Genomic DNA, 18210 nt, shown 5'->3' with positions numbered 1-18210 from the left:
AAGGTATATGAGAGTACCTAGGGGGAAATTGTGAGCTCAGTAGGTGTACTAACTGTGGCATGGATATGTGAGAGAAGTGGCAGGTTAGCACAAATCTTAGGCTGTTATTTTAATACCCCTCTCCCAGATGTCTTTTTAAAAATTATATTATTTTAAAAATTCTTCTATACTGGATGAGTACAATGAGAAAGAAATTCGACAGTGAAATTTTTAGTTTTATATATTTTTTTAATTGCACGCTAGCCCCTTCTGTGTTTAAAATCCCTTCTGCCATTCCTCTTAGCTCCATATCCTATGAAAGCAAAATACTACTTAATGATTTTAAATCCCAGCATTTTCATAAATCACAGGATATTCCTGTTGGTTTCTGTTTCTATTCATGAACAGAGAGTAAATTTCCTTGCTTGCCCTGGTCACTCCCTGCTTCCTTCTCAGGGCTTCTGAGCTCTGGGCTAATTGAGGAAAGTCTTCACCAAATCATGGGAATGACATTTTGATCCCCGGGACTCTTTCCCTTATCAGGATCAAAATTTACTTTTCTTATTCGTGTCAATAATGACACTAACAATGACATCATTTAGGACAGCTGTTGAAATTGAGTATGGCACAGCTCTCTAATCTTCATAGAACGTGTGGACGTGTCCTTTTGTTTCATAAAGAAAGAAACGGAAGCTTAGAGGGATGCAGGCTTTTCCCAGAGTTGAGATCAGAGTGCCCGTGTCTTGGCTTCCATCCGCTGCTCTTTTCAAGTTCCCCTATCGTGTCTGTTTGTTTTTCTCTTCCTGATCACAGTGAACTCACGAGGGGCAGTTTTTCTATAATTACATGGTGTTTTATTCATTTTCTTATGCTGATGTTGAGTGTTCAGTGATGCATTTCTTCAACTGGCGTTTATCGAATCCCTACTGGGTGTGAAGCAGTGTGACGGGCTCTGCAAATGAGGAGATGAGTAATGAGGGGACAGTGAGAGTTGTCACCTCTCCTAGAGGGGGTTAGAGAAGGTAGCTGGGAAGGTGTCACGGAGGAGCTCCTAATTGTGCTCTGTCTCATCAGATGAGAATGGTGGTCGTATGTACTAGACTCCCACATTTTCCTTTGGGAATAAAGGCCTTATTACGCCAGCTGGTGGGAGCAGTCCCTGCAGCGGGGGCTCTCAGAAAAGGCATCAGCCCTTTTTGCAGTTGCCTCTGTTGAAGTGAGTGGCCATGCCTGTGGCCACACCCCTTCGTGGGACACCCCACATCACGGAATGGCTGATGAACATGAGGTCCTGCAGGATCATCTGCCACACTCGGATACTGCCTCACAGGCTGATTTTCCCCTCTGCCTAGTCCTGCTTTCTCCCCTTCCCTTTCATAGGTGCTGTTCTCAAGAGCTCTCTCTAATAAACCTCTTGTATGCTGACATCCATCTCGGGGTCTTTTTCCAAAGAAACTCAACCCACAGCATATATTTAGAGCTGTAAGTCTCCGTTGGATAAGTATAACCACCATAGTCACCAGAACAGGTCATCAGAGATTGTAGAGCTGTAGCTAGGAAATCACGTTTATTCTCTTGCAGCTTGCAATGGCTATAGTGCTAGTGGCGCTCTGTAGCCAATAACAACGTGAATTGTCATGGTTATTTTAAATACGCTGATATCATCCGTGGAAGGGAAGGCACCAGAGCTCTTGCTGCTCCCATAGCTGGCCCAAGGACTTGATTTGGAGGACTCTCAGATTCAAGGCAGCTCCTGGGGTTGAGTAGGGTATATGGGCCAAGGTCAGGACAGGGACAAGGTAAATTTGAATGCAAGGAGCTGAGTTAATGGGCTGCATTTTATTTGTTCATTCTTTTGTTGGTTTATTTCTAGCATTTGTTAGGCCCCCACTGTGAAGAGGAATAGATTAGATGCTGTTGTTCCCTAAAGCTGTTGAGAACACAGCACCTGCCTTCAAGGAACTCAGAAACAAGGCAGAGTGCATTGCGTTTTTATCTATCACCAGCAAAGGAGTACAAAACATCAGAAGTTTTCCCATGCCCACCCTAATTTTTCTGGAAAAATACAGAGGTGAAAAGAAAATAAGTAAAGCTCATCTCTTCTCCATATGTCCCTATTTTGTATCACTTTTGTATGTGTGTGATTGTTTTTCTAAACCAAACTATTAGAAGCCAGGTCATGGAATAGGAAGAAAGCCTGTTAAGTCAGGCGCATAAATGTAGAATGTTCTGATCCAAGAGAGAGTGTCCTTCATAAAGGCAATTGTCGTTGACATCCTTCACTGTAAACGGTTGGAGTGATGTTGATACAATGTGGCCTGGCTAATTTTTCACTTTTTGAGAACAGCTGGTTGTCTGGGGCTGCAGTGGCTCTTGGTCAGATTGCGCTTGATTCCTTTGTGGCGCTGTGAAAGCCCCTTGTTCCTAAATTCATTACCGGGAGAATTACAAAGAAGCCTTTTTCAGGAGTTAGACCCATCCTCAGCCTCTACCAGAAGAAGCCTCTTAGAGATGTCCCCATCTTCCCTGAGCTCGACTTCAGCTAAGTAGCAGATACCTCCCTCCTATGTCAGCGGTTTGCACCTTTACCCAGCCTGCACCAACAGCTGGAAGATTTTCAGAACCACCAATTCTTAGCAGAAAGAATCAGACATACCATTATTGGCCAGGGTCAGGAGCCACCCATTCGGTCAATATTTACTGAGCTCCTTCTAGGTGCCAAATAGCTTACTGTTGGGACTGTTGCAAGAATAAGACTGTTTGGTGAGCCCGTAGCTACACCGGGGTGCTAGTACCAGAGTGGCTAGCAGCCCTGTCCTAACAGAACATTCAGGGGAGCTGGACATGGGTATGGTATGCTTCTCACGAGATACTTCTGGTATACCTGGCAGGGGTCCCTCACATGGGAAACTTATTTTCATAGGCAGATGTCCTTGCAGCTCTTGTCTGACCTGTGTTCAGTTTACACCTGTCTGACTACCAACTACTCTGCCACTGGGAGCCTGACCTTGTCCTCTCCCTGGCGTACCAGAGAAAACCAGCCTGGGGCAGCCCCTGGTTCTTCAATGGAAGGCGCAAATTCAACACACCATTACAATGGTGGAGCTGGTGAGGAGGCAGGTGGCTAAATGAGTGTTTGTAAAACAGAGGGAAAGCTAACTACCATTTCTTAAGCACGTCTTAGGTTCTAGGCACTGAGCTAGAAGCTTTGCACACTTGAAAGTTAAATAAACTGATGGCTCACGCCTGTAATCCCAGCACTTTGGGAGGCCGAGCCCGGCAGATCACGAGGTCAGGAGATCGAAACCATCCTGGCTAACACGGTGAAACCCCATTTCTACTAAAAATACAAAAAATTAGCTGGGCGTGGTGGCGGACGCCTGTAGTCCCAGCTACTCGGGAGGCTGAGGCAGGAGAATGGCGTGAACCTGGGAGGCAGAGCTTGCAGTAAGCCGAGATGGCGCCACTGCACTCCAGCCTGGGTGACAGAGCAAGACTCTGTCTCAAAAAAAAAAAAAAAGTTAAATAAACTGGGCTCAAGAGAGATTAAATTACTTTTCATGCTCAGAGAGCTATTACATAGTGAAACTGAACCCCAATCCATACGGCTTTGGAGTCTGTGCTCTGTCCACTGACCCAGGAGGCTGTACTGCACTTAGAACGGGTGTGACTGCTGAGTACGTGTCACCTTGGACCCCTGCATGCCTTAGTTTTTACTGCACAAAACACTGGAAATAATATGTGATTGTTGTCATTTGGGGAGGCTGTTGTGAAGGCATAAATAATAAATACACACCCATAATCTGAAGCTTTTGGAAGAAGGCCGTGCTGAATATTCAAGATAGTGATTTGATCCATAAGCACAGATGCCTCCCCTCTAAGAGGATCTTAGTGCCACAGAGTAAAATTCTCACCCTACAGCAGGTATGGTCAAACTATCCAGCGTACATGGGCACTGCCTTCCTCACCCTCACGGCACCGCAGATGTGCCATGCCACTGGGTATCATTCAGGGCCTAATAGACTCTGTGTTGTTCCTTACAACTAACATGTTTAAGCACTTAGTCTGTGCCAGCCACTCTGTTAAGGACTTTATGGATAAACTCATTTAATCCTCACAACCCTCCCATGAAGTGATTACTGTTGATGTTCCTATTTTAGAGATTTGGGAGCTGATGCTTAGGGAGGCATAGTTTACCTGGAGTCTCACATTTCTTAAGTCATGAAACCGAGATTTGAACCCAAACAGTCTAACTTTGAATCCAGTCCTCTTTACTCTGCACCCTCCTTTCCCTTGAAGAGGAGTAAGAGAAATCATTGTCATGTGGGTGGAGTTAAGAGTGTCTTTGGAGAGACCGAAGTTAGATTCGTGAAAGAACTCAAAGTGACCATATACACCAGGTTGTAGAGGGCGGGCCCAAGGCGATCTAGGCATTCAGAGAACAAAGGCAGGGAAGCAAAATTAGCATAGAAAAGTGTAGTTTTCACAGGATTCGAGAAATAAAATCTCAGTCTCCAGAATTCTGGCCCAGCATGTGACCTCCGAGAACATCATCTTTAAGTAGCTGTAGTTGGGGTCCAAGAGCTCTACCCAGAGACTCAGCATGTCCAGAGAATAAGGCAGGATCACCCTGATGACTCTGTCAGCGTGGGCAGATGCTGTGGCCTGAAGGTTTGTGTCCTCGCAAAGTTCCTATGTTGAAACCTAACCCCCAGTGCAATGGCGTTAAGAGTAGAGCCTTTAGGAGGTGATTACCTCATGACAGCTGTATGAATGGGGTTAGTACCTTTATGAAAGAGGCTTGACAGACCTTGTTCATCCCTTATATGTGAGGACACAGTTAAAGGGATACCATCAGCAGGGTGTGGTGGCTCACGTTTGTAATCCCAGCACTTTGGGAGGCCGAGGGGGGTGGATCACCTGAGGTCAGGAGTTTGAGACCAGCCTGGCCAACATGGCGAAACCCCGTCTCTACTAAAAATACAAAAACTAGCTGGGCGTGGTGGTGTGTGCCTGTAATCCCAGCTACTCAGGAGGCTGAGGCAATAGAATCACTTGAAACCGGGAGGCAGAGGTTGCAGTATGCCAAGATCACACCATTGCACTCCAGCCTGGGCAACAAGAGCAAGACTGCGTCTCAAAAAAAAGGTGTACCATCAATGAAGCAGAGAGTTCTCACCATGCATCTGATCTGCCGGAGCCTTGATCTTGGACTGCCCAGCCTCTAGAACTGCAAGCAATAAATTTCTGTTGCTTATAAATTACCCGGTGTCAGATATTTTGTTATAGCAGCTCAAACTGAATAAGACAGCAGGTTATCTTAGTTGATTTAGGCTCAGAGAAGGAATAATGCTAACGGGGTCTTTGTGAGAATTGTACAAGATAATGTGCATTATTTTTCCACATTCCATTTTCTCTAAGGACTCCTGCCAGAGTGAATGGGATGATGGCAGACATCGTTAATGTGTGTCTGCTCCATTTCCTCACAGTTCTGTCCACAGAGCCATTGGGGCTGTACAATAATGTAGAAAAGCTGAACATGAAGAACATTGAAGTATTACTTTTGAAAAGACATTTGTAGAAATTTTATGCTTATAATCAGTTGCCTCGAAGGAGTTTTTAATGCTCTTTGAAGTTTCTTCAGGTCTTGTCTTTCTTTGTTACCTTGCCGCCCTGCCTGTCTCCTCTGATGGAATTGGTGGAGTCAGAAGAGCTTAGCAAAAAAGAGACCAAGCTTCAAGTCCCTGCTGGTCTACTTTATCAGCAGGGTGATCTAAGGGAGGTCATTGAACCACTCTTGACCTCGCTTCTGCACCTGTAGAAAGAAGATACTGATATCTGCTCACAGTGGTTGTGTGAAATTTGAGGAGGTGATTCAGTGATCCTGGTACCTGACGGACACTTGGACCTTGCGTGTTTCTTTCCCCTTTCCTTCCTCCTCTCTCCTGTGGTTAAGTTTGGTGTTGTCCCATTGGCCCCTTTTTATTTGACTTTAAATCTCCTTTCCTGCCTTCCCTTATCTCCAAATGAAGCTCAGTGTCCCCCGCCCTGTTAGCCCATAGGAAAGGAATCAAAGAAGACCTTTCAAGACAATCCCATGACCTTATGCCAGTCAGATTTTCCTGATTAAAGGCTTCCCTTCTTGGCTGGCCCAGTGTGCCCCCTTCTAGGGCTCAACATGGACAGATTTCCACGCATCTCACATTCACTCCTGACAGTTCCTAAACTTGAGAGACTGTTTTGCCCCGGGGAAGAAAAACATAAATTTTAAAAGATGAAATTCTCAAAGTGCTTTAAAATGACACCAACAGCTGGTGTCTGTAGAGGTGATGTGCTTCTAGTACAGAAGGCGCTGGAATTCAGCTGGGAAAGGGCGAGGCTTGGCCTGTTCTTGGTCAGCAATCATACAGTTTTGTTAAAAGTCCTGGGCATTTCTTTTTAATCTGTACGGGGCCTTTAGAAGTTCTCCTGGGCCGGGCTTAGTGGCTCGTGCCCATAATCCCAGCACTTCAGGAGGCTAAGGCGGGTGGATCACCTGAGGTCAGGAGTTGAAGACCAGCCTGGCAAACATGGCGAAACCCCATCTCTACTAAAAATATAAAAAATTAGCCAGGCATGGTGGCAGTCACCTGTAATTCCAGCTACTTGGGAGGCTGAGGCAGGAGAATTGCTTGAACCCTGGAGGCAGAGGTTGCAGTGAGCCAAGATTGCACCACTGCACTCCAGCCTGGGCGACAGAGCGAGACTGTCTCAAAAAATAAATAAATAAAAAGTTCTCCTGCACTCCCAGTATTGATAAAGTTCCCTCCTCACTACCAGTTTTCATGGTTTTGTTTAGGTCTTTAACGTCCTCTAGCTCCTAGTTGATTTTCCACTTGGAAAATTTTGATGACCTCTTCCATTATTTCCTCCTTGTACCCTCCTGCTTTCTCTGCCTCTCTTAACCAGCCTGCCTTCTACTCAGAATCAGAAACTAGCGCTTTGATTTTCTTGATAGACACTACTGGTTCTTCCATTGGTCCAGCCAAGATGTACACCATTGAAGCAACACCAAGGATTTTTTTCCCTGGCAGAATTGGGTGAAGAGGTTTTAATTATTTTCAGATTAACTTTGAAGCAAATCTGCCTTGTCTTATATATTAGAAAGATCATTTAACTTCTCAGAGCCTCGTTTTTGTTGTTGTTCTATAAAAATGAGAGAATGATACATTAATAACCGCCCCATAGGGTTTATTTTGGTGATTAAGTCAGGTAATGGCTCTGTATTGCACAATACCTAATAAGTGATAGTTCCCTTCTTTTCTTTGTATGTCTCAGGGTTGTTTGTTTGTTCGTGAAACAGTCTCACTCTGTCGCCAGGCTGGAGTGCAGTGGCACAATGTCAGCTCACTGCAACCTCTGCCTCCCGGGTTCAAGTGATTCCCCTGCCTCAGCCTCCCGAGTAGCTGGGACTACAGGCGTGCACCACCACGCCTGGCTGATTTTTTGTATTTTACTAGAGACAGGGTTTCACCATGTTGGCCACGCTGGTCTTGATCTCCTGACCTCATAATCTGCCCACCTCTGCCTCCCAAAGTGCTGGGATTACAGGCGTGAGCCACTGCAGCCAGCCTCTTTTTTTTTTTTCTTGTTCTTCAGCCTGAAATTTCAGAGAGTTCACAGACCAGAAACCAACCCTAACCTCTCCCTACCTTCCTGAGTTCCTTTCTCCCTCCTTCCCTCCTTCCCTGCCTCCCTACCTGCCTGCCTTCCTGCCTGCCTGCCTGCCTGCCTCCCTCCCTCCCTCCCTCCCTCCCTCCTTCCCTCCCTCCCTCCCTCCCTTCCTTCCTTCTTTCCTTGCCTTTTGCACCCATTCAGTCATTCATTCTTTCATTAATTTACTACCTTCTGAGGCTCTTGGCCTGCCCTAGGCCCTGGGGGTAAAATATTAACTGAGACAGACCTAGCTCTACCCTCCTGTTGCTAATATCTATTAAATGTGTTTTATGTGTCATGCCCTGAACCATCTCATTTAGCCTTCATAAAACTCTTTAAGTCTGTTGCCTGAAATCACTAACTACAAGTTAGTGGCAAAACCTGGGCTGAAGCCAGGCTGGTCTCAGAGCCGACACTTAACCGCTAGATTCTAGATACATCTGAACACATGGTTACATGCAAGTGTAGAAAGTCTCTTGAAAGGGAAAAGTCAGGGTGAGGTCGAATCACATTTTAGGGAAAGCATTGCTAGTGAGGGAAGTTGGAGGGAGTCAGGAGGGCTTCTAAAGGGAGAGAGGTGGATGCATTGGCCTCTGGTCTCACTTAGAGGGAGCAGCATATGTGAAGCCCTGAGATCCAGAGAGAGATTAGAGAGAGTGATACAGACAGAAACTGAAATAAACATTAAATCTACACTTTTTTTTTTTTTTTTGAGATGGAGTCTCTCTCTCTCCACCCACTCTAGAGTGCAGTGGCGTGATCTCCACTCACTGCAACCTCCACCTCCCGGGCTCAGGCAGTTCTCCTGTCTCAGCCTCCAGAGTAGCTGGGATTACAGGAATGTGCCACCACACCCGGCTAATTTTTTGTAGTTTTAGTAGAGATGGGGTTTCACCATGTTGGCCAGGCTGGTCTCAAAATCCTGACCTCAGTGGATCCTCCTGTCTCGGCCACCCAAAGTGCTAGGATTACAAGCATGAGCCACCACGCCTGGCCCTTCAATCTACTTTTCAAACAGACCAGACAGGCTCCTACCTTTGGCCCTCTGCTCTGATGTTCCTGTACCTGGAATGCTGCTCCTCCAGATCATTCCCTGTCTTGCTACCATAATCCCAGCCCTTCGAGTCTTTGCCCAAACCTGAGCTTCTCAGCAAGGCTTTCCCTGACTGTCCCATTGAATCCTAAAGCCTGAGACACCATCCCATTTTTCTCTACTGCTCTTTCATATTTTTTTTTTCAAGAGGACTCATCACCTTCTAATGAATATCTAATTACTTATCAAGAGGGCTGCTCTGCCTCACCCCATAGGGAGGACAGACCCAGGTACCAGGATACAGCTGGCTCCATCTGGTTATTGTGTGTTCTTTCTAGGGACCTCCCACGGATACCAAAATCTGCAGATGCTCAAGTCCCTGATATATAAAAAATTGCATTTGCACATCATCTGTGGACATCCTCCTGTATGCTTTAAATCATCTCTCGATTATTTATAATTCCTAATACAATGTAAATGCTAAGTAAATAGTTGTTAGACTGTATTGTTTAGGGAATAGTAAGAAGACAAAAAAAATCTGTGTATATTCAGTACAGAGGCAGTTTTCTTTCCAAATATTTTCAGTCCAGGTTGGTTGAATCCACAGATGCAGAACCCATGGGTGTGGTGGGCTAACTCAGTGTAAGCACCAGGAAGGCAGGGATCTTTGTCTGTTTTATGCCTGATATGTCCCAGCACAGAACAGTGCCTGACACATAGAAGGTGCCCGATAACTATTTGTCAAATGAACAAGTAAAGCGGATGTTTCTTGGTGAAGTGAGTGGTGGGGAATAAGGTAAGAGAGGTATAAAGGGTCTTATTAAGTGTTAGCTTTGGGTCTTCTCCAAAGGTCATTGAAAGACAGTTTAGAAGATTTGAAAAGATCCCTTTGGCTGATGTGTGGGGGTGATATAAAAAGTGCGACAGGAAAACAGTACTTTCAAAAAGAGTTGGCAGCAGGTAGGAGGCTTCAGTCTCAGCAAAAGACCACTGTGGCCCGTAGCGGGATGTTAGCCTTGGAGTCAGAGCAAGGGATGCAGATTAGAGATGAATGGGGACGTAGAGTGAATAGCACTGGACGGCGAGTTCGGTTTTGGACATGCAGAGATGGGGTAAACAGGTCTAGATCTTACAAGAAGGGTCGGGGCCAGGGGTCTCTTCAGGTGTTTGTTGTTGTTGTTGTTTTTAATAAACTTGAAATAGAGCTTTCTTGGTGTTAAAATAGGTATTCTCACCAGATTGTTACAGTTTCCTTTTCTGAATGGCCAGGTGAGCCCCAGTGTAGAATCCAGTTGGGCAGCTCTGTAGTGCGTGGTCCTGCAGGGACAGCAGAGGGGATTTGATGAATCTAACACAGGGCTCATTGGATGGGGGCAGGATGAAATCAGCAAGCACAAAGACTGGGCACGGTGTGATTGGCAAGCTGTGATTTGCGAGGGGGAGCAACGGAACGGATGCTGAGCAGAACTCATGAGGAGGGATCACTGGACTCACCCTGATTGTGTCCTGAGCTCCTCCTTGTACAGCCCACACCCAGTGAATGATGTTCACTGCTGCCTCCAGCTGCCGCTGCGTTGAAAAGTCAGCCATGCCCTGGGTCCCTAGCTCTGTGCTGCTTACTGGGTGGGAGTGAGGAGCCTCACGGATCCATCACCAGGATTCCATGGACCTCTCTATCAGTTGTGGGTCTTTCTTAGACACACAGGGCTCAGACTCTCACGGAGGTGAGCTGGAGGACCCTTTTAGGCTCCTCACCAAGGGGGAGGAAAGACATCTCTGGAGGTAGATGTGAGATGTTTCTTTCCCCACTCCCTTTCCCAACTCAAGTATTTACTCTCAGTCAAGGGCCCTTCCTTGGGGTTGCTTTGCATCCTCTTGCCATCTTTGCAACGTCGGGGTGTTGCTCAACTCTAAACCTCTGTTTCCTGTGGGCAAGATGGGGAGAATGATACCCATGGGGTATTGGCGTGAGGGTAACGTGACATGATACATTTCAAAGTCTTAGTGCTATACCTGACACAGTAAGCTCTTGACAGTGTTAGCTTCTGCTGTTATTAATATTAGAGCTATTTTGTTTTGTTTTGTTTTGTTTTTGTGACAGGGTCTTGTTGTGTCACCCAGGCTGGAGTGCAGTCGTGGGATCATAGCTCATTGCCACCTGAAATTCCTGGACTCAAGGGATTCTCCCACCTCAGTTTCCAGAGTAGTTGGGACTGTAGGCATGTGCTACCACGTCTGGCTATTTTTTTTTTTTAATTTTTATTTTTGCAGACACAGGGTCTCACTTTGTTCCCCAGGCTGGTCTCAAATTCCTGGGCTCAAGCGATCCTCCCGCCTCAGCTTCCCAAAGTGCTGGGATTACAGGCGTGAGCCACTGTGCCCCGCTGAGTCATTTTATTGTAATCACAATAAGATGGCTGTCTACATACCTCTAAACAGTTCAGGATGGGAGAGGTTCTTAATATCAGAGGAGACAATACAAGGCCTTGGAGTAAACACATTTCCAAAAATAATCTCTGTCAAGATGGGGAAAGAAGCCTGAGAAATGGTTATGTAAAAGCATAGGAGTTGGGGGTTTGCTCCTAATTGGAAAGAGCTGGCCGTGTATCTCAGTGGGGAAAGTACAGGCTGTAGAGTGGGATGATTCCAAGACCTGGGTTTGAGGCCCCACGCTTCCAGGCACTTCGCAATTCAGCTTCTCATTCTCAATGGGAATATTATGTTAGGAGCAAAATATGTAATTCACCTAGTATTTTGCAGGTGTTTTGTCATATTATCTCAGTTCTATGATACAGGACTTTGCACATTTTCCCATTTCCGAAACTGAGATGTGACTTACAAAAGCAACTTGACAGATGGTCTTTTTCTCCTGGCAAATGTTTTGATATATCGTACAATCAGCAGCCTCTTAGAATCCAGAAAATATGTTGTGATTATTTTTATTAGCAATATCTCTCTAGCTTTTCTTTTTATCTTTGAGTTGTACAGGGGAGAAGGAGGGCGAGTAGGACTGTAGACTAAAGGAGAAAGAGCTGAGTCAGTCAAAGAGAGGATTTGGGGGTCTTAGCAGACTCTTCCTTGATCAACTTTTATTGTTTGACCACAGGGTCCTGGAGCATCTGCACCATTGCTATTTTTTTTTCTTTTGTAAATAAATATCGTGCTTGTGTCTCCCGTGTTGAGATAGGTGCCATCTCTTGGTAAGCCCTCCCATGTGGAGACTGACTGTCTGTTTCCTGGAAGCAAGTGTTTGTATAGGTTGGGGGCAAGGAGAGAGGGGAGGTCAAGGGACAGAGTTGTGGTACAAAAACATCTGGGATTTCTTTGAGAATATCAGGAAGAAATATTGAAAAGCAGAACAGCATTAAATCCAGAACTCCAGGAAGCCTGCTCTGCCATGATGTCTCTTCTTGCTCAGACATTTATAAATATTTATTGAGCACCTACTTGTTACCATATGCACAAGTTATGCTCTTTAATGCTCAGTCCGTTAGAAATTCATATGACTGACTTAGCCTTCCTTGAAAAGATCTGATATTTCTGGGAACATTTTAGTATTACCCGTGATTAATGTGAATTTTTTAGCTAGATCACTTTTTTTTTTTTTTTTTTTTTTGAGACGGAGCCTTGCTCTGTCGCCCAGGCTGGAGTGCAGTGGCGCGATCTCGGCTCACTGCATGCTCCGCCTCCCGGGTTCACACCATTCTCCTGCCTCAGCCTCCCAAGTAGCTGGGACTACAGGCGCCCATCATCACGCCCGGCTAAATTTTTTTGTATTTTTAGTAGAGATGGGGTTGCTAGATAACTTTTAACATCAGCTGCTTTGAGTTCAAGAGATTTTGATTGCAGACACAGCTATTGTGGATGCGTAGAGGGGACAGGGCTTTCCAAGGACATTCTGGACAAAGAGGGTGAGTGAGTAGGTTAGGACCTAATAAAGGCAATAAACAAATCCCTTGAGGCAAGAAACAAATGGCTTGTTGAATGAATTTATGGAGATAAAGTCCACACCTTTAGAATCATGTGCTAAGAAAAGAAGCCAGTTTCCTTTTTCTTGTTTGTTCTAGATGTATCTTGTCTGGGAATCCCACATGAAAGTCAGGGTTACTCCTACTCTCCATAAGCAACAGGCCAAATTGAACTAATAGCCATGTGAAGGCTAAGCAGCAGCCTCATGATCATTGACAGCTCTGCCTTTTGAACAGTAATTCTGAGCCATGGAGAGGAGGGTAGCTGAAGTACTGGAATTACCTGTAGGGTCTTTTCAAATTGCACAGGTTCATGTCCACTCTTATCTCTGCACAGTGGCCTGCTCATCACCAGTGACTGGAGAATCTGCCTTAGTACGGGGTTTCTCCATGTTGGCACTATTGATATTTTGGGCTGTATATGTCTTTGTGTGTTTTTAACAGTTGTACAAATGTATGGGGTACATATACAATTTTATTGCATGTGTAGATTTTGTAGTGGTGAAGTCAGGGCTTTTAGGGTATCTATTATACGAATAATGCACATTATACACATTAATTTCTCATCATCCACCCCTTTCCCATCCCTTTACCCTTCTGAGTTTCCATTGTCTGTTTTTCCACTCTCTACATCCATGTGTACACATTTTTTAGCTCCCATTTATAAATGAGAGCATGTGATATTTGACTTTCCCTGTCTGGCTTGTTTCACTTAGACAGTAACCTCCAGTTCCACCCATGTTGTTTCAGAAGACATGATTTTATTCTTTTTTGTGGCTAAATAGTATTTCGTTGTACTGTGATATGCATCTGTATACCACATTTGCATTATCCATTGATGGGCACGTCGGTTGATTTCATGTCTTTGCTATTGTGAGTAGTGTTGTGATAAACATCAGTGCAGGTGTCTTTCTTATATAATGATTTCTTTTTCCTTTGGTTAGATATCTAGTGGTGGGATTGCTGGATTGAATGGTAGTTCTATTGTTAGTTTTTTGAGAACTCTCCATACTGTTTTCTTCTAATTTACATTCCCACCAACAGTGTATAAGAGTTCCGTCTTCTCCACATCCTCACTAATGTCTGTTATTTTTTGTCTTTAATAATGGCCATTCTGACTGAGTTTAAGATGATATCTCATAACTTTTTGTGGTGGAAGGGCTGTCTTTCACACTGTGGGATGTTCAGCAGTATCCCTAGCCTCTTCCCTCTATCCTATGCCCCTCCAGCTATGACACGCAAAAATATCTCTAGGCGTTGCCAAATGTCCCCTGAGGAAAATGTCTTTCCCTGTTGAGAACCACTTCCTTAATGACCCACTGTTACTGATGGAAATGTGTAGGGTCCTTTAGGAATATGTAGTGGACTTGGTAGTTTTAAGTGGTTAATAGCGACTGGCCCAAGAAATGAAATCTAAACCTTCCACAACTTCTATATATATATACATACATACATATATATATATGTGTGTGTGTGTGTGTGTGTGTGTGTGTGTGTGTATACTTTAAGTTCTAGGGTACATGTGCACAATGTGCAGGTTTGTTACATATGTATACATGTGCTGTGTTGGTTTGCTGCACCCATTAACTAATCATTTACATTAGGTATTTCTCCTAATGCTAACCCTCCCCCATCCCCTGACCCTGTGGACTGGATTAAGAAAATGTGGCACATGTACACCATGGAATACTATGCAGCCGTAAACAAAGGGTGAGTTCGTGTCCTTTGTAGCAACATGGATGAAGCAACAGAATGATGGGAAACCTTCATTCTGAGCAAACTATCGCAAGGACAGAAAACCAAATACTGCATGTTCTCACTCATAGGTGGGAACTAAACAATGAGAACACTTGGACACAGGGCTGGGAACACCACAACTTCTTTTTCAGTTCATAACTCATAGTCCACGATCCATGTGCTCTTTGACTTGACTTTTCTTAAACTCCTATTTTATGTGCTTCTGACTTGCTTTCCCTTCTTATTTGTAATCCACACTAGCCTCAAAAGATGCATGAACTGTGAATTTTCACTTCCAGGGCCATGGATAGTTGAACATCTAGTAGTGAATTTCCTCTTTCAGAAGATAAATAAATTCATTCATTCCCCTGGATCTAGAAGGATACACAATACCAAGAGAAAGTGTGATCGAATTAACCAGACTCAAAAGCATTCACATCCACAAAAGGGCACAGATTCAGTTAGGACCCATTAGAATTTATGGTCTTCCCTCGAAATTACAAGAGGGAACAACTTGCAGCTCATCTGCATATCCGTGAAGAGAGGAACCAGTGTATGCCATTCTATGACTATCAAGAAGACACAACTTTTTTTTCCTCCTAAATGCATATACATAGATTATTAGAAGCATCTAATATATGACAAAGACATATGTGGCCTGTCAATGAAGACAAATATGCTGGTCTCTTCTCTGCACCATGCACTGGGCTTGCCCATGTGGAAGGATGCAGCAGGCAGAGGTATGTATGCAGGGTCCTTATTGAGATGAATGGAGGGTCCTTATTGAAATGAATGGAGGGGCCTTTTAAAGGAACACTGTCAACCAGAGTAGGTCCTGGTGGAAATTACCAGCTTCCCTAGAAGCAAAGGGATACTTTTTTCATTAATAACCACCTCCATCAGAAAAGGAAGGTCTGGCTTTTATTTTCTTATTTGCCTCCTGATGAATTTTAGGGACAAAGAAGGCATGTGGATTTTAGGCTTCTCTTCGTTACTGCTTAGATGTCAAAAATGACCACAGGTCATATCCCATGGTAGCACAAATTCTTATGAGATAAAAGAGAAGATTACCCAAATCCAGCCAATAATCCTCTTTTTAAATTTTATTTTTGAGACATTGTATACTACAATATAAATAACAAAGGGAGCCTGTATTAGTCTGTTCTCACACTGCTGTAAAGAAATACCTGAGCCGGGTATGATGGCTCGTGCCTATAATCCCAGCACATTGGGAGGCTGAGACAGGCGGATCACCTGAGGTTGGGAGTTTGAGACCAGCCTGACCAACATGGAGAAACCCTATCTCTCCTAAAAATACAAAATTAGCCAGGTGTGGTGGCACATGCCTGAAATCCCAGCTACTCGGGAGGCTAAGGCAGGGGAATCGCCTGTACCCGGGAGGTGGAGATTGCAGTGAGCAGAGATTGAGCCATTGCACTCCAGCCTGGACAACAAGAGTGAAAAGTCCATTTCAAGAAAAAAAAAACGGAATGCCTGAGACTGGGTAATTTATATGAAAAGAGATTTAATTGGCTCACAGTTCTGCAGGCTGTACAGGAAACATGGCAGTATCTGTTTCTTGGGAGGCCTCAAGGAGCTTACAGTCATGGCAGAAGGCAGAGCGGGGGCAGGCATCTTACATGGCAGAAGCAAAAGCAAAAGAGCGTAGGGGAAGGTGCCACACATTTTTTAAAAAACCAGATCTCATGAGAACTCTATCACCAGAATACCAAGGGATGGTGGTAAGCCATTTGTGAAGGATCCACCCCAGTGAACCATTCACTTCCCAGTAGGCCCTACCTCCAACGCTGGGGATCACAACTGAACATGAGATTTGGGTGGGGACACAGAACCCAAACCATGTAAGAGTCCTTGAAACATCTGCCTTATATTGGGAGTTGGGGGGTGGGGTAGGGTTGGTCGGCAGTGATGGACTCTTTATTTTCTTTATTAAAAATAACTTTTTTATGGCAACAGTTTTAGATTACAGAAAAATTATGAAGACAATACAGAGAGTTCTGATATACCCTATAGCCTGTTCCCCTTATTATTAATATGGTACATTTTTTTAGAGAACCTGCTTTTTTTTTTTTTTTTTTTTTTTTTTTTTTGAGATGGAGTCTCACTCTGTCGTCCAGGCTGGAGTGCAGTGGCACAGTTTCAGCTGACTGCAACCTCCACCTCCCGGATTCAAGCAATTCTCCTGCCTCAGCCTCCTGAGTAGCTGGAATTACAGGTACATGCCACCATGCCCAGCTAATTTTTTTTTTTAAAGTAGAGATGGGGTTTCACCATGTTGGTCAGGCTGATCTTGAACTCTTGACCTCATGATCCACCTGCCTCGTCCTCCTAAAGTGCTGGGATTACAGGCGTGAGCCATGAGAACGTGCTTTTAAGAAGCCTGGTATGGTCTAGACCAGGGGTTCCCAAACCCTGGGCGCCAGACCGGTGTGGTCTGTGTCCTGTTAGGAACCAGGCGAGCAAGCATTACAGCCTGACCTTCACCTCCTGTCAGATCAGCGCTGGGATTAGATTCCCATAGTAGCGCAAACCCTGTTGTGAACTGCGCATGCGAGGGATCTAGGTTGCATGCACCTTATGAAAATCGAGCTAATGCCTGATTATCTGATATCTAAGGTGGAACAGTTTCATCCCCAAACCATCCTACCCTCCCCCCCACCACCCTTCATGGAAAATTGTCTTCCGTGAAACTGGTCACTAGTGCCAAAAAGGTTAGGGACTGCTGTACATACAGTTTAGGTATCATACATACATACATTAGCTTCTTTCATCTTCACAAAAGACCTGGCATATAACAGTTCAGTCCACATCTTAGAAGAGAAAAAAAAATGCTTAAAAAGGTTAAATAATACTAAATACTAAAATCTTCTAACTGGCAAGTGGCAGAGCCAAGATTACAACCATCTCCACTATTACGAGTTGATTTATTCCACAGGTTTTGAAGCACTGTTCCTCATCAATCTCTAAATCAGTACCGAGTTTGTAAGAATGGATAAGATGGGCCAGGTGCGGTGGTTCACGCCTGTAATCCCAGCACTTTGGGAGGCCAAGGTGGGCGGATAACCTGAGGTCAGGAGTTTGAGACCAGCCTGGCCACCGTTGTGAAACCCCATCTCTACTAAAAATACAAAAATTAGTCAGATATGGTGGCATGCACCTGTAGTCCCAGCTACTTGGGAGGCTGAGGCTGAGAATTTCTTGAACACAGGAGGCATAGGTTGCAGTGAGCTGAGATTGCACCATTGCACTCCCGCCTGGGTGACAGAGTGAGACTGTGTCTCAAAAAAAATAAAAAATTTAAAAAAAGAATGGATAAGATGGTTCACCTGCCTTCATGGAGGTCCTGTTCTGAGAATTCCGAAGGGCAGTCAAAGATAAAGGACTATGGTGAGAGAAAAGGGGGCATGTGCCAAACATAATGGTGTTGCCATGGAGACAGTCATTAATTTCGGAACCTGGGAAAGACATCCCCCATAACCTAAGAGAAATCGGTCCTTGTTGATTGGCTGGAGATCTCCACCTGGGAAAAGGGGAACAAATAGGCCATTCCAAACAAAAGGCACAGAATGGACCAAAGGCAGGAAGGCATGATAAAGCGTGGTGTGTTCCCTATGTCAGTTGCATTCCCTAAGGAATCAGGTGGTTGGTGAGATCGGAGGGTTTGGGAAGGTGATGGCAGATCGAAAAGTAGGTAGGAGCTAGGTCATGAAGGATTTAGCGTGCTGTGCCATGCCAAGGAGTTTGGCCTTTTCTGGAAGGCACTGAAAATCCACTGAC

General features: G+C 44.7%; 1 protein-coding gene across 26 annotated transcripts in view; it reads left to right on the top strand.

Moving 5' to 3' along the window:
* Window positions 1–18210, top strand: part of LARGE1 (LARGE xylosyl- and glucuronyltransferase 1) — an 856162-nt gene that overhangs the window by 358508 nt on the left and 479444 nt on the right. The gene's annotated exons all lie outside the window — the stretch shown is intronic.

Source organism: Homo sapiens, chromosome 22 (genome assembly GCF_000001405.40).
Source record: "Homo sapiens chromosome 22, GRCh38.p14 Primary Assembly".
Classification (NCBI taxonomy): Eukaryota; Metazoa; Chordata; class Mammalia; order Primates; family Hominidae; genus Homo; species Homo sapiens.
The sequence above is the reverse complement of the archived record's forward strand: the minus strand, read 5'-3'. Positions and strand labels throughout refer to the sequence as shown.